This window comes from Homo sapiens, chromosome 14 (assembly GCF_000001405.40).
Source record: "Homo sapiens chromosome 14, GRCh38.p14 Primary Assembly".
Lineage (NCBI taxonomy): Eukaryota > Metazoa > Chordata > Mammalia > Primates > Hominidae > Homo > Homo sapiens.
Window position 1 is genome coordinate 71,856,262 of NC_000014.9, and position 26,877 is coordinate 71,883,138.

At 41.4% G+C, this 26,877-nt stretch overlaps 1 protein-coding gene across 1 annotated transcript in view, besides 1 other annotated feature; it reads left to right on the forward strand.

The window, feature by feature from the left end:
- Positions 1–70: an enhancer, noted in NCBI's record as "active region_8680". NCBI's record gives its function as "activates an Ori minimal core promoter by ATAC-STARR-seq in GM12878 lymphoblastoid cells {active_cell/tissue: GM12878}" and the evidence as "EXISTENCE:reporter gene assay evidence [ECO:0000049][PMID:35858748]".
- The window catches only part of RGS6 (regulator of G protein signaling 6), a 762,695-nt gene continuing 746,891 nt past the window's right edge, over positions 11,074–26,877 (forward strand). The window contains exons 1-2 of the mRNA XM_024449761.2: positions 11,074–11,362; positions 13,665–13,723. The gene's annotated coding sequence lies outside the window, so the exon portion shown is untranslated. The remainder of the gene's footprint in view (positions 11,363–13,664; positions 13,724–26,877) is intronic.

Genomic DNA, 26,877 nt, shown 5'->3' on the forward strand with positions numbered 1-26,877 from the left:
CCTTCGGTTTGCGTGGGAGCTGGGTGAAGCTGGTGACTGCTGGCTTTCCCCCGCTTCCCTGACAACCTGCATGACTCAGCAGAGGCAGCCATAATCCTGCTAGGTACACTACTCTATTGACCTTGCAACATCACCCCCATACCCCACAGCAGCCACAGCAAGACCTGCCCAAGGAGAGTCTGATCTCAGACATGCTTAGCCCTGCCCCGACCTGATGGGCCTTTCCTATGCACCCTGGTAGCTGAAGACAAAGGGCATATACTCTTGGGAGTTTTAAGGCCCCGCCCACTGCCATTTTCTCTCAATACTACCACAGCTGATGCTTTCTGGAAAGCACCACCTCCTGGCAGTAGGCCAACCAGCACAAAAATAGAACATTAAACCACCAAAGCTGACAACCTCGTAGAGTCCATTTCACCCCCTGCCACCTCCATGGGAACAGGTACTGGTATCCACACTGAGAGACCCATAGATGATTCACATCACAGGACTATGTGCAGACAATCCCCAGTACCAGCCCAGAGCCGGGTAGACTTGCTAAGTGGCTAGACCCAGAAGAGAGATAACAATCACTGCAGCTTGGCTCACAGGAAGCCACATGCATAGGAAAAGAGGAAGAGTACTACATCAAGGCAACACCCCATGGGACAAAAGAATCTGAACAACAGCCCTCAGCCCTAAACCTTCTCTCTGACAGAGCCTACCCAAATAAGAAGGAACCAGAAAACCAACTCTGGTAATATGACAAAACAAGGCTCTTTAACACCCCCCAAAAATCACTCTTGCTCACCAGCAGTGGATCCAAACCAAGAAGAAGAAATCCCTGATTTACCTGAAAAACAATTCAGGAGGTTACTTATCAAGCAATCAGGGACGCACCAGAGAAAGGCAAAGCCCAATGCAAGGAAATACAAAAAACGATGCAAGAAGTGAAGGGAGAAATATTCAAGGAAATAGATAGCATAAAGAAAATCAACCAAAACTTCAGGAAATATTGGACACACCTATAGAAATCCAAAATGCTCTGGAAAGTCTCAGCAATGGAATTGAATAAGTAGAAAAAGAAATTCAGAGCTCGAAGACAAGGTCTTGGAATTAACCCAATCCAACAAAGACAAAGAAAAACAATAAGAAAATAAGAACAAAGCCTCCAAGAAGTCTGGGATTATGTTAAGGGAACAAACCTAAGAATAATCAGTGTTCCAGAGGAAGAAGAGAAATCTAAAAGTTTTGAAAACATATTTGGGGGAGTAATCGAGGAAAACTTCCCTGGCCTTGCTAGAGACCTAGACATGCAAATAAAAGAAGCACAAAGAACAGCTGGGAAATTCATCGCAAAACGATCATCATCTAGGCATATTGTCATCAGGTTATCTAAAGTTAAGACAAAGAAAATAATTTTAAGAGCTGTGAGACAAAAACACTCAGGTAACCTATAAAGGAAACCTATCAGATTAACAGCAGATTTCCCAGCAGAAACCCTGCAAAGCTAGAAGGGATTGGGGCCCTATCTTCAGCCTCCTCAAACAAAACAATTATCAGCCAAGAATTTTGTATCCAGCAAAACTAAGCAACATATATGAAGGAAAGATGCAGTCTTTTTCAGACAAACAAATGCTGAGAGAATTCGCCACTACCAAGCCACCACTATAAGAACTGCTAAAAGGAGCTCTAAATCTTCAAACAAATCCTGGAAACACATACAAACAGAAACTCTTTAAAGCGTAAATCACACAGAACCTATAAAACAAAAATGCAAGTTAAAAAGCAAAAACAAAAAAAAAACCGAGGTATGCAAGCAACAAATAGCACAATGAATGCAATGGTACCTCACATCTCAATACTAACATTGACTGTAAATGGCCTAAATGTTCCACTTGAAAGATACAGAACTGCAGAATGGATAAGAACTCACCAACTAACTCTCTGCTGCCTGCGGGAGACTCACCTAACACATACGGACTCACATAAACTTCAAGTAAAGGGGTGGAAAAAGGTATTTCACTCAAATGGACACCAAAAGCGAGCAGGGGTAGCCATTCTTGTATCAGACAAAACAAACTCTAAAGCAACAGCAGTTAAAAGAGACAAAGAGGGACATTATATAATGGTAAATGGCCTTGTCCAACAGGAAAATATCACAATCCTAAACATATGTACACCTAACACTGGAGCTCCCAAATTTATAAAACGATTACTAATAGACCTAAGAAATGAGATAGACAGCAACACAATAATAGTGGGGGACTTCAATACTCCACTGACAGCAGTAGACAGGTTATTGAAACAGAAAGTCAACAAAGAAACAATGGTTTTAAACTATACCTTGGAACAAATAGACTTAACAGATATAAACAGAACATTTCATCCAACAACCACAGAATACACATTCTATTCAACAGTGCATGGAACTTTTTCCAAGATAGACCATATGATAGGCCATAAAATGAGTCTCAATAGATTTAAGAAAATTGAAATTATATCAAGTACTCTCTCAGACCACAGTGGAATAAAACTGGAAACCAACTCCAAAAGGAGCCTTCAAAGTCATGCAAATACATGGAAGTTAAATAACCTGTTCCTGAATGAGCATTAGGTCAAAACCAAAATCCAGATGGAAATTAAAAAATTATTCAAACTGAATGACAATAACGATACAACCTATCAAAACCTCCAGGGTATAGCAAAGGTGGTGCTAAGAGGAAAAGTTCGTAGCCCTAAATGCCTACATCAAAAAGATTGAAAGAGCACAAACTCATATTCTAAGCTCACACCTCAAGGAACTAGAGAAACAAGAGCACACCAAACCCAAACCCAGCAGACGAAAGGAAATAACCAAGAGCAGAGCAGAACTAAATGAAATTGAAACAAAAAAAATACAAAACATAAAACAAACATGAGGTTCTTTGAAAAGTTTAATAAAATTGATAGACCGTTGCAAGATTAACCAAGAAAAGAAGAGAGAAAATCCAAATAACTTCATTAAGAAATGAAACAGGAGATATTACAACTGACACCACTGAAATACAAAAGATAATTCAAGGCTACTGTGAACACCTTTATGCAGATAAACTAGAAAACCTTGAAGAGATAGATAAATTCCTGGAAAAATACAACCCTCCTAGCTTAAATCAGGAAGAATTAGATACCCTGAGCAGACTGATAACAAGCAGCAAGATTGAAGTGGTAATTAAAAAATTACCAACAACAAAAGAAGTCCAGGACCAAATGGATTCAGAGCAGAGTTCTTCTACCAGACATTCAAAGAAGAATTGATACCAATTCTTTAGACACTATTCTACAAGATCAAGAAAGAGGGAACTCTTTCTAATTCATTCTATGAAACCAGCATCACCCTATACCAAAACCAGGAAAAGATATAATCAAAAAAGAAAACTATGGACCGATATCCTTGATGGACAGAGACGCTAAAATTCTTAACAAAATACTAGCTAACCAAATCCAACAGCATATCAAAAAGATAATCCACCATGATCAAGTGGTTTTAATACCAGGGATGCAGGGATGGTTTAACATACACAAGTCAATAAATGTGATAGACCACATAAACAGAATTAAAAACCAGAATCACATGATCATCTCAGTAGATGCAGAAAAAGCATTTGACAAAATCCAGCATCCCTTTATGATTAAAACTTTCAGCAAAATCAGCATACAAGGGACATACCTAAATGTAATAAAAGCCATCTATGACAAACCCACAGCCAACATCATATTGAATGGGAAAAAGTTGAAAGCATTCCCTCTGAGAACTGGAACAAGACAAGGATACCCACTCTCACTACTCCTTTTCAACATAGTACTGGAGGTCCTAGCCAGAGCAATCAGGCAAGAGAAAGAAATAAAGGGCATCAAAATCGACAAAGAGGAAGTCAAACTGTCACTGTTTGCTGACAATATGATCCTTTACCTTGAAAATCCTAAAGACTCCTCCAGAAAGCTCCTAGAACTGATAAAAGAATTCAGCAAAGTTTTGGGATATAAGATTAATGTACACAAATCAGTAGCTCTTCTATACACCTACAGCGACCAAGCAGTGAATCAAATCAAGAACCCAACCCCTTTTACAATAGCTGCAAAAAAAAAAAAAGAATAAATAAATAAAATACTTAAGAATATACCCAACAAAGGAAGCGAAAGACCTCTACAAGGAAAACTACAAAACACTGCTGAATGAAATCATAGATGACCCATTCCATGCTCATGGATGAGTAGAATCAATATTGTGAAAATGACTATACTGACAAAAGCAATCTACATGTTCAATGAAATCCCCATCAAAATACCACCATCATTCATCACAGAAGTAGAAAAAACAATCCTAAATTTCATATGGAACTAAAAAAGAGCCCGCATAGGCAAAGCAAGACTAAGCAAAAGGAACAGATCTGGAGGCATCACACTAACTGATTTCAAACTATACTATAAGGTCATAGTCACCAAAACAGCATGGTACTGGTATAAAAATAGGCACATAGACCAATGGAACAGAATAGGGAACCTAGAAATAAACCCAAATACTTACAGCCAACTGACCTTCAACAAAGCAAACAAAAACATAAAAGTGGGGAAAGGACACCCTTTGCAGCAAATAGTGCTGGGATAATTGGCTAGCCACATGTAGGAGAATGAAACTGGATCCTCATCTCTCACCTTATACAAAAATCAACTCAAGATGGACTAAGCACTTAAATATAAGACCTGAAGCTATAAAAATGCTAGAAGATAACGTTGGAAAAACCCTTCTAGACATTGGCTTAGGCAGGGATTTTACGGTCAAGAACCCAAAAGCAAATGCAATAAAAACAAAGATAAATAGTTGGGACTTAATTAAACTAAAGAGCTTTTGCACAGCAAAAGGAACAGTTGTCAAACAGACAACAAGCATAGTAGGAGAAAATCTTCACAATCTATACATCTGACAAATGACTCATATCCAGAATCTACAACAAATTCAAACAAATCAGTAAGAAAAAACAATCCCATCAAAAAGTGGGCTAAGGACATGAATAGACAATTCTCAAAAGAAGATATACAAATGACCAACAAACATGAAAAAATGCTCAACATCACTAATGATCAGGGAAATGCAAATCAAAACCACAATGTGTTACCACCTTACTTCTGCAAAATTGGCCATAATCAAAAAATAAAAAATAGTAGATGATGGCATGGATGTGGTGATCAGGGAACACTTTTACACTGGTGGTGGGAATGTAAACTAGTACAGCCTATAGAAAACAGTGTGGAGATTCCTTAAATAACTAAAAGTAGAACTGCCATTTGATCCAGCAATCCCACTACTGGGTATCTACACAGAGGAAAAGAAGTTATTATATGAAAAAGATACTTGCACACACATGTTTATAGCAACACAATTCACAATTGCAAAATCGTGGGACCAACTGAAATGCCCATTACTCAATGAGTGGATAAAGAAACTGTGGTATATATATATATATATATATATATATATATATATATATATATATATATATATACACGATGGAATACTACTCAGCCATAAAAAGGAATGAATTAATGGCATTTGCAGCGACCTGGATGAGATTGGAGACTATTTTTCTAAGTGAAGTAACTCAGGAATGGAAAACCAAACACCTTATGTTCTCACTGATATGTGGGAGCTAAGCTATGAGGACGCAAAGGCATAAGAATGATACGATGGACTTTGGGGACTTGGGGGGAAGAGTGGAAGCGGGGGAAGGGATAAAAGACTACAAATCGGATATACTGCTTGGGTGATGGGTGCACCAAAATATCACAAATCACCACTAAAGAACTTACTCGTGTAACCAAATGCCATCTGTACCCCAATAACCTATGGAAAAATAAAAAACTTAAAAAAATTCCTTATCAGGAAGATTGGCAGTCTGACCAGAAGACCCTCTCCAACATGCCAAGATTCCAGAAAAAAAAGTGTCTTCCGTGCTCAGAGAGATTTTTAGGGCAGTGGAAATACTCTGTATGACTGTAGTGGTAGATACATCTCATACATTTGTCCAAACCCATAGAATGTATGACACCAAGAGTGAACCCTCATGTAAACACTACGGACTCTGGGTGATAATGATATACCAGTGTAGGTTCATCAGTTGTAACAAATGTACCACTCTAGTGAAAAGCGTTGATAATGGGAGAGCCTATGCATGTGTAGGGGCAGGGGATATATGAAAAATCTCTGTATGTTCCTCTCAATCTTCCCATGAAACTAACTACTCTAAAAAAAAAAAAAAGCTGTATTTTGTTTTCAAGTGTCTTCTCTTCCTGGAAGCTTTCAGGAAGAATTACAGGTCATAGCTCTGTGTTGACTAGGTCTTACCTGAGTTGAGGACAAATGTGGGAGCCTTCAGCCTAGCAGATGAGATAGGACTGTCCAATGGTTGGGGCTAAAGGCTGGGTTACTATGGGTTTGCAGACACCTGGAGTTAGTATAGGATTCCAACAGTCTTTTCCCTGACCCACTTCTGTGAGCCTGGAGCACCTCTCACATTTCCTGTCCACTGCAGCGATGGGGCTGGCCTTGGTCAGGTTGAGATCAAACTTCCCAGGCTCAAGCCGTCCTCCCACCTCAGCCTCCCAAAGTGCTGGAATTAAAGGCACAAGCCACTGCGCCTGGCCAGGAATACTATCTTAAAGCTCTTATTCAGCTGGGGTATCAGGGGACTACTAATATGCACTGTAGGGGTATTAGCTGTTATACTATTTTAAGTTGTTTTTATTTTTGGTCATATATCTTAGAATTTATACCCGGACTGGATTCATGGCAAAAGATGGGACACGTGAAGATTCCCACGTTGAAATACAACAAACTATGAAAAACATCAGAAAGAACATTCTCTAAATTCTCTTCAAGATGAGTTCATGAGATCTAAAAGTTGCAGTTACATAATAAAACTTCTTATATAGCACTTCAAAATATCTCTATGTCAACAACAACAAAAATATCTCTGATACTTCAAGAAGCTAGTGGCTGTTATGTGCAATTGCATCTCTAGTTTATTGGGTATAAAGACCATTAATACCTGTAATGTGTTCTTTGCTGGGAAGAACTGGGAGAGAGCAGCCTGAAACCCTTTTCTAATTTCATCATTTAGAAACAAACATGAACATTTCAAAAATAAACCACTCAGTTTTTTTTTTTAATGGCAAAGGCAAGCATTCCAACATTAGGTCATGGAAGCAATTTTAGTCTATTTTTGCTACTGTAAAATGCAGGCAAAATTATTCTATATTAAGTGTGTCCAATCTCAAAACACACCCACAAAACAAGATGTTAATGTTAAATGGATTGGTCAGAAATCATGCCTTTCCTTACATAATTAAGTTAAATTAAGGAGCATGTGTTGCTTATTAAGTGGAACAAAATATTTATATTTTAAAATAATTACTAAAGATGGCATTAAAAAGTGAAATGTATTATAATCTGAAATAATACTAACCTAAAAATATTTTTAATGCAAAACTCTTTCTTTATCATGTACCACATATAAATGACATTTGATTTTTTTACATCCCCAAAGAGTGTCACGAGCTTATGTATTCCCTCCCTGTAAAAGAAGTTCAAGAGTCGTATTTAGACCTTTCAGTATGACATACCAGCCTCTCTGAGACTTAGTCCAAATTCTTTCCATTCACCAATGCACACTACCATCTGGCTAGCCCAAACTGTTGGAAGTTCCTCTAAGCATGTCCTTTACAAGTCTGGGTTTTTGCATATGCTTCTTTATGCCTGGAATGTTCTTCCATCATCTTCACTATTTTTGAACTGGAGCATTTCTTTAACGCTTGACATCAACTTCTCTCTAAGGATCTCCCTTTCTGAAAGTCAGGGAGAGTTAGATGTTACTTTCTGTGTTCCCAAACCATTCTTTTCACAATTCATTTAATTACCAGAAAGTTTTGTAACTAGTTGATTAGTTCTCTATCTCTCCTGCTAGACTACAAATTCTCTACAAATTCTCTATCTCTCCTGCTAGATTACAAATTCTCTACAAAAGATTGCCATCTTAAATGACTAAAATAAAATAAAAATGTTGATGCTTAAAAGGTGCCTTCTCAGATCTCCACAGCTTTCCTGCAGAACCTAGTCCCTAAGGGAATCTGGATAGATAGGCTGGCTTGGCTTAGAACTACCCACATGTTTCCCCTGAGCTCAGCTGCACCTACCTGATGGATAACACTCAAGTTGGTCCTCTTATCCCCACAAAAAGTAGGATTCCCTCATTACCTTTGCCGAGGGCCCGGTTGCTGGAGTTAATGAGATAAAGGCAGAAAAAAACAAAAGGGCCAGGAAATTGCCATAAGACATTATTTCAGTGCCTCTCAAGGAAAGGGACTCTTGGAGAAATGAATCCGCAGTCATGAGTACAAAAGGTGGCAATTAATTTAGCTTCAGAGAAATCCTGAGAAAAGCCGAGGGAAAAGAGCAGTTCATTCTCTGTTTCTGGGATGGGTATCAAAAGGAGTGAAAGCCTCCTTGTTTCTAAGAACTCAAGGCTGGGTGGGTCTTCTGGGCATCCTCTGTCTATATCTGAGGTGTGTCAGAAAATCTCTGATTGTGTATTCTGAAGAGGTGCTCCAAACTTTTTGGAATCCTATTTGAGCAAAACTTGAGGTCTGAGAAAGTAAAAAGATGGGTCTTCAGTGTGTAACTTCTCCTTTCTGATTGAAAGGGCAATAGCACATCCTACCAACTTTACCCTAACACTTCTCTAAAGAAAAAGATGCAGGTTCAAATTGGGTGCCCTAAATGCCTTCCAAGAGAGTTTGCTCATTTAATTCAGCTCCAGATGATTGGACTGAAAGCAATTTGAGCAAAAGCAATTTGGTCAAACATAAGTTGGCCAGTGAGATAATTTTGGTCAAAAATGGATTTCAGTCATGGATTTTTCATTTGTTAAATCATTTTGGCTGATCACAAGGGAGGTTTTGCAATCATTAATGCATGTGTTTGGCACTTTTTGTCTCCCCTCTTTACTTTTTTCAGTGCAGTAAGTATTTTCTCTTATTCTTTTGATGTTTTAAATTTGGAATTAAATTTCAAACAATTCCAGCTCTACACTGTGTATGGTAATGAAAAATTGGAAACACCCAAAATGTTTGGCAAAAGAGAAATAGCTGAAATAACCCCATGTCCAACACTTGGTGGATTGCTGAAATAAATTACAGTATATTTCAAAGAAAATCCTCAGATATCCCCTCAAATTACCTATTTATCAAGACCTAGACCTAAGGGTTACAGATGTGTAATCTTTTCTTTTTTTTTTTTTTTGAAATGGAGTCTTGCTTTGTCACCCAGGCTGGAGTGAGAGGCGTGATCTCGCCTCACTGCAACCTCTGCCTCCCGGGTTCAAGTGATCCTCCTGTCTCAGCCTCCCAAGTAGCTGGAACTACAGGTCCCCACCACCATGCCCAGCTAATTTTTGTACTTTTAGTGGAGATGGGGTTTCACTATGTTGGCCAGGCTGTTCTCGAACTCCTGATCTCAAGTGATCCACCCACATTAGCCTCCCAAAGTGCTGGGATTATAGGCATGAGCCACCCACGCCCAGCCATTCTTATAGAAAAGACATATATGCACAGATAGAAAAATCTAGAAGATAAATATCTTAATGATTGTTTCTGATGGGTAGGCCTATGGGGGTACTTTATATTAGGCTGTGCAAAAGTAATTGTGATTTTGCCTTTAAAGTAATGGCAAAAACAGACCAAGCATGGTGGCTCACGCCTGTAATCCCAGCACTTTGGGAGGCCAAGGCAGCTGGATCACCTGAGGTCAGGAATTCGAGATCAGCCTGGCCAACATGGTGAAACCTCCTCTCTACTAAAAATACAAAAATTAGCCAGGCATGGTGGCATGTGCCTGTAGTCCCAGCTATTCGGGAGGCTGAGTCAGGAGAATCACTTGAACCTGAGAGGCAGAGGATGCAGTGAGCCAAGATGGTGCCACTGCACTCCAGCCTGGGCAACAGAGTGAGACTCCGTCTCAAAATAAAATAAAATAAAGTAATGGCAAAAACCACAATTACTTTTGCATGAACCTATAGTTACATTTGTTTATTTTTTTTCCTTTTAACAAATACTGATTGCTTTTTTAATAGGAAAAATAATTTAGGAAACTTCTTTAATTAAACCATAAAAGAGAATGATCTGGGATTTTCGTGCTCTGTGGATGCGGTAGAGACTCCCAGTTGCCTACGTTACTATCATGTTATTTGAGGCAGCAATGCGCTCAGCCAGAGGACTGCCTTTCCCAGCCTCCCCGGTAGCTGGATGGGCTTTGGGACTGGGTTCTGACCTTAGCAGAGGGGTTATGTGGTCCTTCCAGAACATCTCCTTAAAAGGGGTGGAGTGGGCTTTTCCCAGCTTCAAGTCCTGGTGCCTGGAACTTAGATGTGATGGCTAGCAATTCCACAGAGTAGGTCAGGGATCATTGGCTAGAAATGAACTAAACAGTAAAGGAACAACCAGCAAACCTTCCTCAGGCAGACATGAAAACATTAGGAAAAACAGACAAAAGTTCATAGAGGCTGCAAAATCACCCCAAAAGGCACCAGACTTAATAATACCTTTAAAAAGTTAGTGGCCAGCTACAGTGGCTCACACCTGTAATCCTAGCACTTTAGGGGTCGGAGGTGGGAGGATCACTTGAGGCCAGAAGTTTGAGGTCAGCCTCGGCAACATAGCAAGACCATGTCTTATAACAACATTTTAAAAGTTAGCTGGGTGTGGTGGTGTTCACATATAGTCCTTGCTACTGGGGAGGCTGAGGTGAGAGGATTGTTTGAGACCAGGACTTCGAGGCTGCGGTGAACTGTGATCATGCCACTGCACTCCAGCCTGGGTGACAGAGCGAGACTCTGTCTCTTAAAAAAAATGTGGAGATATTTATGCAACAAGATGAAGATAGGTGCCAAGTAGGAGTTGTTTTCCACATTGTTTGGAACTGATAATTCACTTTACTGCTGAAAACAAAACCACTAGTTTCCCCACATCATAAATAAAGAGGATGGCCAGCTGTTGGCATAGAAACATTCCAGAATCACTTGCTGAGAGGCAACACTTTCAGCAGGTCCCACACTAGCACCAACACCAAATCCCAGTACTCCTTGCAGCCCCTCCTAGTCTCCCATCCCATCATCTCACATCCAATAGAGGACTGTGAGGGGGCGAAATGGTTTTTTAAGTAGGAGAACAGTATGAAAAGCAGCTGTGTCTCACCTTGCTCTCCTTATGGGGATGGAGAGTAACTCCAAGACAAGTGGAAGGAGCTGGGCCTGGAGAGAATCATCTGTACAACATGGGAATGTCTTCGAGAGGGGTAGGCTGGCATTTCAACTGCTGGTTGGGGCTAGAGAAAGAACCCTTGGAGAGATGATTAAGAGAGATGACCAGATAAGGAGGAGGCAAAAACCATCCCTTCACACATCTTATTCCTAGAGGTACAGAAAATAGATAGATTTTACGTATGCTGGCCAATTCCAGGATTATGGGCCTTTTTGGGTTGATGAGGTAGGGGATGTGGGCTCACTGGGGGCCATCACCAAGGAGCAAGGAGCCAAGGCCTCCCAGGGAGGGCAGCTTAGACTACCCATAGTGGGGCCATCCTGAAGATGTGATCGCTCCTCTTAAGGGACTCCACATACCTCAGAATCAGTTTGAAAGTGAGTCTCACATCCATGAGGCCTGTTGAGACCATCATCCATCCATATCCAGATGAGAGAAAACAGAAAAGTAGTTACAACCAACCAAGGAAAGGGTCAAACGTCCACCGGCTTGTATGGAGCCAGTGCTATCTTCCTGCTCTCTCCTCCCACCCCAACATCAGCAGGAATTGCATAGCAAGTCAGGAGGGGTGTGTCAGGGAGAGTTGACTGTGTCCCGTAATGCTCCAGTCTAGTCTGGGCTTGGCAAGGGTGAGCAGGATGGGGAGCTGTGCCTTGAATTTGAAATTGAGAGGTGCCTATAAACAGGAACTGAACTTTATGGCCTAAAATGAGATGATTTTGATAACTGAAAGTGATTGAAGAGCTATGGGCTTAAACTGACATGTCTTTAAGGAATTTCACTCTTCTAGTGGGAAGAAGTATTAGACAGAGCCCAGCAGAAAGCAGGGACTGGAAAAGCAGAACCATATCATATTTACACTCCTATATGGGATTCCTCTTCATTAAACCAATTATATTTCTTTTCAAAAAGTTGTCCAGTTGACCATACTGTTTTACATCAATGGTATGCTCTTTGTGAAGGCTTGATAGGACATGTAATGAGGTGGTCACACAGTACAGATATGAAAGAAAGTTCTAGAAAGCCAGTTTATGGTACATTTTTGTGTTAAATACCTTTAGTGAACCACTCGATTTCTCTCAGTCTCACCTGTCCTTGGGACCTACGACCACTTGGGCTGCTCCAGTGGACATTTTCTCAAGGACTCCAGTCAACTTCAGAAGAGCACAATTCCATAACCCCTTGGCCTCTCGTCCTACTGCACTTCTTCCACCCCCTCCCCGGGGCATTCCTAATGATGGGGAGCCACAACTCTACTGTGAGATATTCTAGGGTGCCTAGCACAGCCCCAAAGTGTGGAAGTTCATGCCCTGTGAGTGAATCTGTGACCAATAAGAGATGTCCCCTTTCTTCCAGGGACAGACTGCCTTGGGATGCCATATACAGCACCCCTCTGAAGTTAAGCCTTTGAGATTAAGCAGTCAGCTGTGCTTGACACCAAGCATCCCTCCTTTTCTGCCTCACCCCTCTTTTTGCTCACTCTTACTTCCCTGGGATTGTACTCCTTAATAAGGAATAACACCTAAGTCTTTGCCTCGAGCTCTGCTTCTGAGGAAGTCATGCTGGGCTGGGACAGGTGTAAAAACCTGCCTTGCATTTTCAAAGTATTGCATTTTAGGTTCTATGCCAGATTCGCCTTTAAAATTGGCTTAACCTTGTGAGTGTTAGCACTGAAGATGCTAGCAGCTAGAGATGAGCAAGTAGGTTTCTTATCTGCATTATACCAACAAGTGATCACTTGTCTGCCAGAAGAAAGTGAAATTAGAAAGGCTCTCAGCCCCCAGCTCCAATGTGACTACCATGACTGTGATTCCAGGGGACCTTTCCCAGGTGGAGGGAGACCATCCTTTGCCTTGCAAATGGAATTATGTTGAAATGACAGTAATTGGGGGAAACAAAATTACTCTCTAAACACTGTTGCTACAGTCACTGCTGAGACTCAAACTGAACTTAACAAGCTTCCCCAACAAAGGAAAATGACTTATCCTTCAGTGGGCTAAATTGAAAGTAAAATATCCATTTTGAAAGACAGAAAACCCATTATAGCTATAGAATTTCTGCCAACTAAATTAGGCAACCTTTTTTGCTGAACCCTAAAACTTGATGGCATATCAAAACTTGACACAATATAGTTGCCATGGTTTGAATATTTGTCCCCTCAAAACTTGTGTTGAAATTGAATTGCCGTTGTGACATTATTGAGAAGTGTGACCTTCAAGATGCAATTAGGCCATGAGGATCCACCCTCATGAGTGGGATTGGTGTTGTTATAAAAGGGTGAGTCTGATCACCTTTTACTCTCTTGCCCTCTCTCTTTCTGCCCTGTGATGACATAGCAAGAAGTCGCTTGCTGGATGCCAGCACCTTGATATTGGACTTCTCATCCTCCAGAACTGTGAGCCAATACATTTCTATTCATTACAAATTACCCAGTCACAGGTATTCTGTTATAGCAGCACAAAATGGACTAAGACAGTAGTTTCCCAAAGGGCTAAACTGTCTAACTCCAGGCCAAGGTCTTTTGGGCATCACCCAATCAATTTCTTTTGTAATCACACAGTGGCCAATCGTGTATGACCAGGAATCAAAACCATCTCTACTGAGCTTTTTCTTTCTTTTTTCTTTTTTTCATTCAATGATTAGCTCCTTTGCAATTTGGCTAAAGAAAACAGAATAGCCAGAATAACAATTACATGAGTCTGATTCACCTAGAAAGCAGGAGGAAAATAGAAAGGAAGAGTCTTCAGCCTTAGTTAGGCTAATTTACATTACTACCTCCTTATGAGATACCCAGTGCTGTTGAGGGTGGGAAGGTGAAGAGGTTGTGTTTTGGGGTATAGGAGGGTGTGATTTTGCATATGGCCCCTGGATACTATTTAAGGAGTTGTTGCTACAGAGGTCTGGGGAGTCTAAGAATTCATCCAGAGCTAAGAGGGTTTTAGTGGGCTTGTGCCTGCTCTGTAAGTGAGGAATGAGGCGTTTCCACAGTGATACTGGCTTGGTATCACGGGAAGCACACCAAGGCTAGGAAAAGTTCCTGGGGAAATGATTTTCCAAAGATCTGTGGTGCTCAACTACTGTCACTGTTTGATTCTGGTAGTCACCCTGGAGGCCCTGGCTCAGAACATCTGGAGGGAGGGCATTTGCAGCCAGGGATGACAACCAGGTGCATAGGGGCAGCTGCCAGGGTCTTTTCCCTCCCAGTGTGGGCCCAGGATTCCAGAACTGTCCACTGTGATCACCCAGCTGAGGACTCACTTGAAAAGTGAGCCTTATTAGGAGGCCTTGGGCCTCCCATCCCAGTCATTCTAAAAGGTGTGCAGAGGCTTGGAACTTTCTGGGGCTGGCAGAGATTGTGTACAAGTTCTCCTGGGAGGAGGAGAAAATTACATTAGTGAGGTGGGAACATTGTAGAAATGAAATCCTCTGTTTGACAGTTCAGCCAAAGCTTTCCCCAGCCCAGGGGTTCCAGCTGACTTGTGGCACAGAATGGAACAGCACAGGTAGAGCTTCTGGCGCTGAGACCCTGTTCCCATAGACTGAGCTTGTTTGGGTCTGTTCTAGGCTCTACCTGCTATTTGGGGGGTGAGGACTATTTGGTGAGTTCAGGGTAGTTTGAATGGTTGGACAAAGCAATCAAAACAGTCAAAAAATGACTAAGGAAAAGGAATAGAGGGGACATCCCAAACCAGGGCATTTTCTCCAGAATCTTCTACTCACAAAAAATAGAGGCCAACAGAGACTATAGACATGTGCTTGATAGAAGCCAAACTGCCTCCCGAGGTTACATAAATCTCCTTATTGTTATTCCCCAAATGATTTCCATATTCTTTCCTCTCGTCTCTGAGGACCTTCTCTCCTCAGAACGTACACTGTGTATTCCCAAGGTTTGGTCTTTAGCTCTTTGATCTGATTTTTTTCCCTCTTTTGAAAGCTAATTCCCAAAAAGCTGACTCCCTAAATATTACCTTGTGGATTCCCCTAAACCAGCCTCTATTCCTGACTGTAGATTTTTTCCATATGGATGCTCATGTTACCTAGGTGTCACCTGCAAGCCCAGTGCCTTGAGGTCCTCCCTGACCCCTTTGTCTCCACCCACCACATTGGCATGACCATCAGGTTCAGACTATCCCTCTTTCCTTTCCCTTTTTTTGCTGTTCCCATGTCTATTACCCTGACCAAGATCTTCGTCATCTCACTCCTGAGTTATTGTGTCAAGGAATCTAGCCAACAGCATTCTTTTCCTCTCCAGCTCATTCTGTGCCCCCTACTGTCGAATGAATTTTCCTTGAGCATCTGTACTGTGTCCTGTCACCCACTTACATCTAAACCTCCAACATCGATTTCCTGGAGCACTGAATTTGAGCTCAATGTGTATGGGGGTGGAGGGGGTGGTGGAGGGGATGGTGGAGATGAGAGGGAAGGTGAGGAAGGAGCCAGGTAGGCTTCCCTGCTCCTTGACAACTTTGCAGGGAGCATGCTGTGGGCAGCCACCCAGCAGGACTCTGGCCCTGGTTTAGACAGAAGTTGATTCAATTCTAACTACAAGTGAACACAATACCACCCCAACTCCTCAGCCACCAACTCATGTTCGTCTCACTAAGAGAAGCTGAAAAATGAGCAGTTTTCTACACTTCCATCCACAGGATCAGATAAAAGAAGAACTGATTCGGTGACTCAGGGCTTCCTTCTGCTGCTGACACTCCTACCCTCTTGCCTATGGTACACAGTTTCCAGGACTAGGTTTGCCTGATCTATGTGGCATGGCGGGACTCTGATCAGGATGGAAAGGGGGAGTGATTCCTTTTCTTCTCAGCTTAACGCAGTGCTGTCTTTTCTGCCCTTGGAACTTAACCCGGATTGAGAGGTGCTCACTAGCTGCTATGGATACTTGGGTCTCTTGTCATCCCTTTCATGTGGAAACTCCTTAAAGAGAATGTTAAATCTAATACTCCAACTGCATAGAACTCTAAGAATGGAAGAGGGGGTATGTGTAAATAAAGACAGTCTATTCCAAAACCCAATATCAGTAAGTTTTTTTTGTGAATAATTATACTTCTTTTTATTATTATACTTTAAGTTCTAGGGTACATGTGCACAACATGCAGGTTTGTTACATATGTATACATGTGCCATGTTGGTGTGCTGCACCCATTAACTCGTCATTTACATTGGGTATATCTCCTAATGCTATCCCTCTCCCATTCCCCATCCCACGACAGGCCCCGTGTGTGATATTCCCCATCCTGTGTCCAAGTGTTCTCACTGTTCAATTCCCACCTATGAGTGAGAACATGCGGTGTTTGGTTTTTTGTCCTTCCAAGAGTTTGCTCAGAATGATGGTTTCCAACTTCATCCATGACCCTACAAAGGACATGAACTCAACCTTTTTTATGGCTGCATAGTATTCCATGGTGAATATGTGCCACATTTTCTTAATCTAGTCTATCATTGATGGACATTTGGGTTGGTTTCAAGTCTTTGCTATTGTGAATAGTGCCGCAATAAACATACGTGTGCATGTGTCTTTATAGTAGCATGATTTATAATCCTTTGGGTATATATCCAGTAATGGGATGGCTGGGTCAAATGGTATTTCTAGTTCTAGATCCTTGAGGAATCGCCACACTGTCTTCCACAATGGTTAAACTAGTTCACAGTCCCACAAACAGTGTAAAAGCATTCATATTTCTCCACATCCTCTCCAGCACCTGTTGTTTCCTGACCTTTTAATGATCACCATTCTAACTGGTGTGAGATGGTATCTCATTGTGGTTTTGATTTGCATTTCTCTGATGACCAGTGATGATGAGCATTTTTTCATGTGTTTTTTGGCTGCATAAATGTCTTCTTTTGAGGAGTGTCTGTTCATATCCTTCGTCCACTTTTTGATGGGGTTTTTTGATTTTTTCTTGTAAATTTGTTTAAGTTCTCTGTAGATTCTGGATATTAGCCCTTTGTCAGATGGGTAGATTGCAAAAATTTTCTCCCATTCTGTATATTGCCTGTTCACTCTGAGGGTAGTTTCTTTTGCTGTGCAGAAACTGTTTAGTTTAATTAGATCCCATTTCTCAATTTGGCTTTTGTTGCCACTGCTTTTGGTGTTTTAGTCATGAAGTCCTTGCCCATGCCTATGTCCTGAATGGTATTGCCTAGGTTTTCTTCTAGGGTTTTTATGGTTTTAGGTCTGACAATTAAGTCTTTAATCCATCTTGAATTAATTTTTGTTTAAGATGTAAAGAAGGGATCCCGTTTCAGCTTTCTACATATGGCTAGCCAGTTTTCCCAGCACCATTTATTAAATTGGGAATCCTTTCCCCATTTCTTCTTTTTGTCAGGTTTGTCAAAGATCAGATTGTTGTAGATGTGTGGTATTATTTCTGAGGGCTCTGTTCTGTTCCATTGGTCTATATCTCTGTTTTGGTACCAACACCATGCTGTTTTGGTTACTGTAGCCTTGTAGTATAGTTTGAAGTCAGGTAGCATGATGCCTCCAGCTTTATTCTTTTTGCTTAGGAGTGTCTTGGCAATGTGGGCTCTTTTTTGGTTCCATATGAACTTTAAAGTAGTTTTTTCCAATTCTGTGAAGAAAGTCATTGGTAGCTTGATGGGGATGGCATTGAATCTGTAAATTACCTTGGGCAGTATGGCCATTTTCACGATATTGATTCTTCCTATCCATGAGCATGGAATGTTCTTCCATTTGTTTGTGTCCTTTTTTATTTCATTGAGCAGTGGTTTGTAGTTCTCCTTGAAGAGGTCCTTCACATCCCTTGTAAGTTGGATTCCTAGGTATTTTATTCTCTTTGAAGCAATTGTGAATGGGAGTTCACTCATGATTTGGCTCTCTGTTTGTTTGTTGGTGGTGTATAGGAATGCTTGTGATTTTTGCACATTGATTTTGTATCCTGAGACTTTGCTGAAGTTGCTTATCAGCTTAAGGAGATTTTGGGCTGAGAAAATGGGATTTTCTAAATGTACAATCATATCATCTGCAAACAGGGACAATTTGACTTCCTCTTTTCCTAAATGAATACCCTTTATTTCTTTCTCCTGCCTGATTGCCCTGGCTAGAACTTCCAACACTATGTTGAATAAGAGTGGTGAGAGAGGGCATCCCTGTCTTGTGCCAGTTTTCAAAGGGAATGCTTCCAGTTTTTGCCCATTCAGTATGATATTGGCTGTGGGTTTGTCATAAATAGCTCTTATTATTTTGAGATACATCCCATCAATACCTAATTTATTGAAAGTTTTTAGCATGAAGGGCTGTTGAATTTTGTTGAAGGCCTTTTACGCATCTATTGAGATAATCATGTGGTTTTTGTCTTTGGTTCTGTTTATCTGATGGATTACGTTTACTGATTTGCGTATGTTGAACCAGCCTTGCATCCCAGGGATGAAGCCCACTTGATTGTGGTGGATAAGCTTTTTGATGTGCTACTGGATTCGGTTTGCCAGTATTTTATTAAGGATTTTTGCATCGATGTTCATCAGGGATATTGGTCTAAAATTCTCTTTTTTTTGTTGTCTCTCTACCAGGCTTTGGTATTAGGATGATGCTGGCCTCATAAAATGAATTAGGGAGGATTCCCTCTTTTTCTATTGATTGGAATAGTTTCAGAAGGAATGGTACCAGCTCCTCTTTGTACCTCTGGTAGAATTTGGCTGTGAATCCATCTGGTCCTGGACTTTTTTTGGTTGGTAGGCTCTTAATTATTGCCTCAATTTCAGATCCTGTTATTGTTCTATTCAGGGATTCAATTTCTTCCTCATTTAATCTTGGGAGGGTGTTTGTGTATGGGAATTTATCCATTTCTTCTAGATTTTCTAGTTTAATTGCATAGAGGTGTTTATAGTATTCTCTGATGGTAGTTTGTATTTCTGTGGGATCGGTGATGATATCCCCTTTATCATTTTTTATTGTGTCTATTTGATTCTTCTCTCTTTTCTTCTTTATTAGTCTTGCTAGCGGTCTATCAATTTTGCTGATCATTTCAAAAAACCAGCTCCTGGATTCATTGATTTTTTGAAGGGTTTTTTGTGTCTCTATCTCCTTCAGTTCTGCTCTGATCTTAGTTATTTCTTGCCTTCTGCTAGCTTTTGAATGTGTTTGCTCTTGCTTCTCTAGTTCTTTGAATTGTGATGTTAGGGTGTCAATTTTAGATCTTTCCTGCTTTCTCTTGTGGGCATTTAGTGCTATAAATTTCCCTCTACACACTGCTTTAAATGTGTCCCAGAGATTCTTGTATGTTGTGTCTTTGTTCTCATTGGTTTCAAAGAACATCTTTATTTCTGCCTTCATCTCATTATGTACCCAGTAGTCATTCAGGAGCATGTTGTTCAGTTTCCATGTAGTTGAGCAGTTTTGAGTGAGTTTGTTAATCCTGAGTTCTAGTTTGATTGCACTGTGGTCTGAGAGACAATTTCTTATAATTTCTGTTCTTTTACATTTGCTGAGGAGTGCTTTACTTCCAACTATGTGGTCAATTTTGGAATAAGTACGATGTGGTGCTAAGAAGAATGTATATTCTGTTGATTTGGGGTGGAGAGTTCTGTAGATGTCTATTAGGTCCACTTGGTGCACAGCTGAGTTCAATTCCTGGATATCCTTGTTAACTTTCTGTCTCATTGATCTGTCTAATGTTGACAGTGGGGTGTTAAAGTCTCCCATTATTATTGTATGGGAGCCTAAGTCTCTTTGTAGGTCTCTAAGGACTTGCTTTGTGAATCCAGATGCTCCTGTATTGGGTGCATATATATTTAGGATAGTTAGCTCTTCTTGTTGAATTGATCCCTTTACCATTATGTAATGGTCTTCTTTGTCTCTTTTGATCTTTGTTGGTTTAAAATCTGTTTTATCAGAGACTAGGTTTGCAACCGCTGCTTTTTTTTTTTTTTTTTTTTTTTTTTTTTTTTTTTTTTGCTTTCCATTTGCTTGGTAGATCTTCCTCCATCCCTTTATTTTGAGCCTATGTATGTCTCTGCACATGAGATGTGTCTCCTGAATACAGCACACTGATGGGTCTTGACTCTTTATCCGATTTGCCAGTCTGTGTCTTTTAATTGGAGCATTTAGCCCATTTACATTTAAGGTTAATATTGTTATGTGTGAATTTGATCCTGTCATTATGATATTAGCTGGTTATTTTGCTCGTTAGTAGATGCAGTTTCTTCCTAGCCTCGATGGTCTTTACAATTTGGTATGTTTTTGCAGTGGCTGGTACCAATTGTTCATTTTCATTTTTAGTGCTTCCTTCAGGAGCTCTTTTAGGGCAGGCCTGGTGGTGACAAAATCTCTCAGCATTTGCTTGTCTGTAAAGGATTTTATTTCTCCTTCACTTATGAAGCTTAGTTTGGCTAGATATGAAATTCTGGGTTGAAAATTCTTTTCTTTAAGAATGTTGAATATTGGCCCCCACTCTCTTCCACCTTGTAGAGTTTCTGCCAAGAGGTCCGCTGTTAGTCTGATGGCTTCCCTTTGTGGGTAACCCAACCTTTGTCTCTGGCTGCTCTTAATATTTTTTCCTTCATTTCAACTTTGATGAATCTGACAATTATGTGTCTTGGAGTTGCTCTTCTGGAAGAGTATCTTTGTGGCATTCTCTGTAGTTCCTGAATTTGAATGTTGGCCTGCCTTGCTAGGTTGGAGAAGTTCTCCTGGATAATATCCTTAAGAGTGTTTTCCAACTTGTTTCCATTCTCCCCGTCACTTTCAGGTACACCAATCAGACGAAGATTTGGTCTTTTCACATAGTCCCATATTTCTTGGAGGCTTTGTTTATTTCTTTTAACTCTTCTTTTCTCTAAACTTCTCTTCTCACTTCATTTCATTCATTTGATCTTCAATCACAGATACCCTTTCTTCCAGTTGATTGAATCGACTACTGAAGCTTGTGCATGCATCATGTAGTTCTCGTGCCATGGTTTTCAGCTCTATCAGGTTATTTAAGGTCTTCTCTACACTGTTTATTCTAGTTAGCCATTCGTCTAATCTTTTTTCAAGGTTTTTAGCTTCTTTGCCATGGGTTTGAACATCCTCCTTTAGCTCAGAGAAGTTTGTTATTACCGATTGTCTCAAGCCTTCTTCTCTCAACTCATCAAAGTCGTTCTCCATCCAGCTTTGTTCCATTGCTGGCAAGAAGCTGCATTCCTTTGGAGGAGAAGAGCACTCTGATTTTTAGAATTTTCAGCTTTTCTGCTCTGGTTTCTCCCCCTCTTTGTGGTTTTATCTACCTTTGGCATTTGATGATGGTGACATACAAATGGGGTTTTGGTGTGGATGTCTTTTCTGTTTGTTAGTTTTCCTTCTAACAGTCAGGACCCTCAGCTGCAGGTCTGTTGGAGTTTGCTGGAGGTCCACTCCAGACGCTATTTGCCTGGGTATCACCAGCAGAGGCAGCAGAACCACAAATATTGCAGAACAGCAAATGTTGCTGCCTGATAGTTCCTCTGGAAGCTTCTCAGAGGGGCATCTGGCTGTATGAGGTGTCAGTCGGCCCCTACTGGGAGGTGCCTCCCAGTTAGGCTACTCAGGAGCCAGGGACCCACTTGAGGAGGCAATCTGTATGTTCTCAGATCTCAAACTCCATGCTGGGGGAATGACTACTCTCTTCAAAGCTGTCAGACAGGGACGTTTAAGTCTGCAGAAGTTTCTGATGCCTTTTATTCAGCTATGCCCTGCCACCAGAGGTGGAGTCTACAGAGGCAGGCAGGCCTCCTTTAGCTGCGGTGGGCTCCACCCAGTTCAAGCTTCCTGGCCACTTTGTTTACCCACTCAAGCCTCAGCAATGGCAGGCACCCCTCCCCTAGCCTTGCTGCTGCCGCCTTGCAGTTCAATCTCAGACTGCTGTGCTAGTGGTGGGCAAGGCTCCATGGGCGTGGGACCCTCCAAGCCAGGCACGGGATATAATCTCCTGCTGTGCCGTTTGCTAAGACCGTTGGAAAAGCGCAGTATTAGGGTGGGAGTGACCCAATTTTCCAGGTGCCGTCTGTCACAGCTTCCCTTGGCTAGGAAAGGGAATTCCCTGACCCCTTGCACTTCCTGGGTGAGGCAATGCCTTGCCCTGCTTTGGCTTATGGTCTGCAGGCTGCACCCACTGTCCTGCACCCACTGTCCAACAAGCCCCAGTGAGATGAACTTGGTACCTCAGTTGGAAATGCAGAAATCACCTGTCTCTGCATCACTCACGCTGGGAGCTGTAGACTGGAGCTGTTCCTATTTGGCCATCTTGGAACCTCTACCAGTATCAGTAAGTTTTTACAAAAATCCAGCAGTTTGTTTCATCCTTGCCATAGCTCCCTTTCTTTAGGGGTGCTGATGTACAATTAGAGTCCCACCAAACTTTTGCTTTTGTGTGTGGTTTTATGTCATTGAGTCAGACACACTGGGCAGATATGTTCATGTTTCTGGATATCTGTATCGTTCACTTCATAGTGTATTTTTTTTTCTTCCCCCCACAGCACCCTTACCTGGGTTCTCAACCATGCAATATGCTGATCCCGATGTTTACAAAAAGGGAAGAAAAACCCCAAGATTCAAAATTCTAAGCTGTAAGACCTCACCAGGAAAAAAACTCAATATGGATTTATAGAAAAAATTATTTTCATTTGCCCTCTTTGAAAGCACAAAATGAAAGTTCTTGAAGGTATAACAGTTAATTCTGAAATTTGCTGTATTTAGAAATGAAAGAAGATTTGGCTGGACATAATAGTAGCAATATAGAGAAATGGTTAAGAGCTTTAAAGACAGAACTGACTCTACTGTGTGGCTTAAGAGAATTGACTTAACCTCTCTGAACAACTATAATATGAGCAAGATGACTCCTTATAGTGTTGTGAATATTAAATGACAGGTGCTGATATGGTTTGGCTGTGTCCCCAGCCAAATCTCATCTTGAATTGTAGCTCCCATAATTCCCATGTGTTGTGGGAGGGACCTGGTGGGAGGTAATTGACTCATGCAGGCAGGCCTTTCCCATGCTTTTCTCGTGGTAGTGAATAAGTCTCACAAGATCTGATGGTTTAATAAGGGGAAACCCATTTCACTTGGTTCTCATTCTCTCTTGTCTGCTGCCATGTAAAATGTGCCTTTCGCCTTCTACTATGATTGTGAGATCTCCCCAGCCATGTGGAACTGTGAGTATATTAAAGTTCTTTTTCTTTATAAATTACCCAGTCTTGGCTATGTCTTTATCAGCAGTGTGAGAACCAACTAATACAGTCAATTGGTACTGGTAGAGTGGGGTGCTGCTGTAAAGATATCCAAAAATGTGGAAGCAACTTTGGAACTGGGTAACAGGCAGAGGTAGGAACAGTTTGGAGGACTCAGAAGAAGACAGGAAAAAGGGGGAAAGTTTGGAACTTCCTAGCGACTTGTTGAATGGCTTTGGCCAAAATACTGATAGTGATGTGGAAATAAAGTCCAGGCTGAGGTGGTCTCAGATGGAGATGAGGAACTTATTAGGAATTGGAGCAAAGGTGGCTCTTGTTATGTTTTAGCAAAGAGACTGGTGGCATTTTGCCCCTCCCCTAGAGATTTGTGGAACTTTGAACTTGAGGGAGATGATTTAGGGTATCTGGCAGCAGAAATTTCTAAGCAGCACGGCATTCAAGAGGTGACTTGGGTGCTGTTAAAGGCATTCAGTTTTATAAGGGAAGCAGGGCATAAAAGTTTGGGAAATTTGCAGCCTGACAATGCTGTAGAAAAGAAAATCCCATTTCTGAGAGAAATTCAAGCCAGCTGCAGAAATTCGCATTAGTAATGAGGAGCTGAAAATTAATCCCCAAGACAATGGGGAAAATGTCTCCAGGGAATGTCAGAAGTCTTCACTGTAGCCCCTCCTATCACAGGCTCAGAGGCCTAGGAAGACAGAGTGGTTTTGTGGGCCAGGCCTAGGATCCCTCTGCTGTTGTGCAGTCTAGGAACTTGGTGCCCCTTGCCTCAGCCACTCCAACTGTGGCTAAAAGGGGCCAACACAGAGCTGAGACTGTGGCTTCAGGGGGTGTAAGCCCCAAGCCTTGGCTGCTTCCATGTGATATTGAGACTGTGAGTGCACAGAAGTCAAGAATTGAGGTTTGGGAACCTCTGTCTTGATTTCAGAGGATGTATGGAAATGCCTGGATGTCCAGGAACAAGTTTGCTGCAAGGGCAGGGCCCTCATGGACAACCTCTGCTAGGGCTGTGTGGAAGGGAAATGTGGGGTTGGAGCCCCCACACAGAGTCCCCACTGGGGTGTTGCCTAGTGGAGCTGTGAGAAAAGGTCCACTGTCCTCCAGACCCCAGAATGGTAGATCCACCAACAGCTTGCACCATGCACCTGGAAAAGCCATAGACACTCAATGCCAGCCTGTGACAGCAGCCGGGAGGGAGGGTGTACCCTGCAAAGCCACAGGGGTGGAGCAGCCCAAGACTGTGGGAGCCCACCTCTTACATCAGTGTGACCTGTATGTGAGACATGGAGTCAAAAGAGATCATTCTGGAGCTTTAAGATTTGACTGCCCCACTGGATTTCAGACTTGCATGGGACCTTCAGCCCCTTCATTTTGGCCAATTTATTCCATTTGGAATGGGTGTATTTACCCAATGCCTGTACCCCCCTTGCATCTAGGAAGTAACTAACTTGCATTTGATTTTACAGGCTCATAGGCAGAAGGGACTTGCCTTGCCTTAGATCAGACTTTGGACTGTGGACTTTTGAGTTAATGCTGAAATGAATTAAGACTTTGGGGGACTGTTGGAAAGGCATGATTGGTTGTGAAATGTGAGAACATGAGATTTGGGAGGGGCTGGGGTGAAATGATATGGTTTGGCTGTGTCCCCACCCAAATCTCATCTTGTATTGTAGCTCCCATAATTACCACATGTTGTGGGAGGGACCTGGTGGGAGATAATTGAATCATGGGGGCAGTTTCCCCCATACTGTTCTCATGGTAGTGAATACGTCTCAAGAGGTCTGATGGCTTTATAAGGGGAAACCCCATTCCCTCAGTTCTCATTCTGTCTCGTCTGCCACCATGTGAGACGTGCCTTTCACCTTCCATCATGATTGTGAGGCCTCCCTAGCCATGTGGAATTGTGAGTCCATTAAAACTCTTTTTCTTTATAAATTACCCAGTCTCAGGTATGTCTTTATCAGCAGTGTGAGAATGGACTAATACAGCTGCTTAGTGTGGAGGCTGACACAATGTAGGAGACAAAAATCATAAATTCCCCAAACTAAAGGTGTATCTGACAATTGGACAGTATGTCTTTCTTTCTCTCTGTCTGTTTGTCTTTCTTCTCTTCCTCCCTCCTCCCTTCCTTCCTTTATTTTTATTGGAAGCCTATGCTCTGAAAGTTTTCTGTTATGTGTATATAAAATATGCATAACATAAAACTTACCATTTTAAACCATTTAAGTGTGCAATTCAGTGGCATTAAGTACATCTACATTGTTCCACAACCATCTCCACCATATATCCCCAGAACTTTTACGCCATCCCAGACTGAAATTCTGTATTCCTTAACTCTGTTAATTTCCCCTCTCAGCTTCTGGTAACCACTCTTCTATTTTCTGTCTCTATGAATTCACCTATTCTAGCTAACTTATATGTGTGGAATCATGTAATATCTGTCCTTTTGTGTCCGGCTTATTTCACTTAGCACAATGTCCTAAAGTTTTATCCGTGCTGTAGTGTATGTCAGAATTGCATTTCTTTTTATGGCTGAATAATATTCCATTGTATGTGTATATGTGTATATCGCATTTGGTTTATCCATTCATGTGTTGATGTGGGCATTTAGGTTGCTTCCCCCTTTTGGCAATCATGAATAGTGCTGCTATGAACATTGGTATATGCATACCTGTTTGAGCCCCTGCTTTCTGCAAAGCACTTTTAAAATATGTGGTTCGTTAAGAAAAATTATGCAGAACTTGGAACTAGGCAAAAGACATTACTGGATGACCTTACAATGAAGTGCTAGGTGCTGTTGAATGGAACAGGTCTATCCTAATGGGAATGATCTGATTTTCTAGGGATGCTTACCTTTGTCTGAGTTGCGTTCATGACTGATAGCATTACAATGGTTCTTGCCCAATAGCAATGAAAATGATTTCTGCCCAGGAGAAAAGAAAGCTAATCCAAGGTTATAATTAATTCCTTTCAGGATATTTAATAGGTTTAAAAGAGTGAAAGAAAGAGAAAATCTGTTTAATGTTAATTAGGATGATTTTTGCATCTTTGTTTATATCTTGCTCTGCTTTCCAAAAAACTATATCATATAGATGTGCTTATCCCTTCACCTACCAGATGTTTCCCCTAAATTGCCTTTCATTAGGCCAGAGCTGGTTCTGGGTCAAACAGCCAAGAAACCCTTGTTTGGGTGTTAATGACATATCCCAAAACTTCCTCCTGTGCCAGGCTTTTACCTGAGCCTTGACTTCCTAGAGAGGCTGATTTCGAGTCAGTGTTTCCTTTTTCAGGGGCATTTACATTTTAAGCCTCTTAACTGTGGCCTAAGTAAACTCTGAAAAAGGAATTTCAGGTTTTTTAAATCAATGTGATAACTCA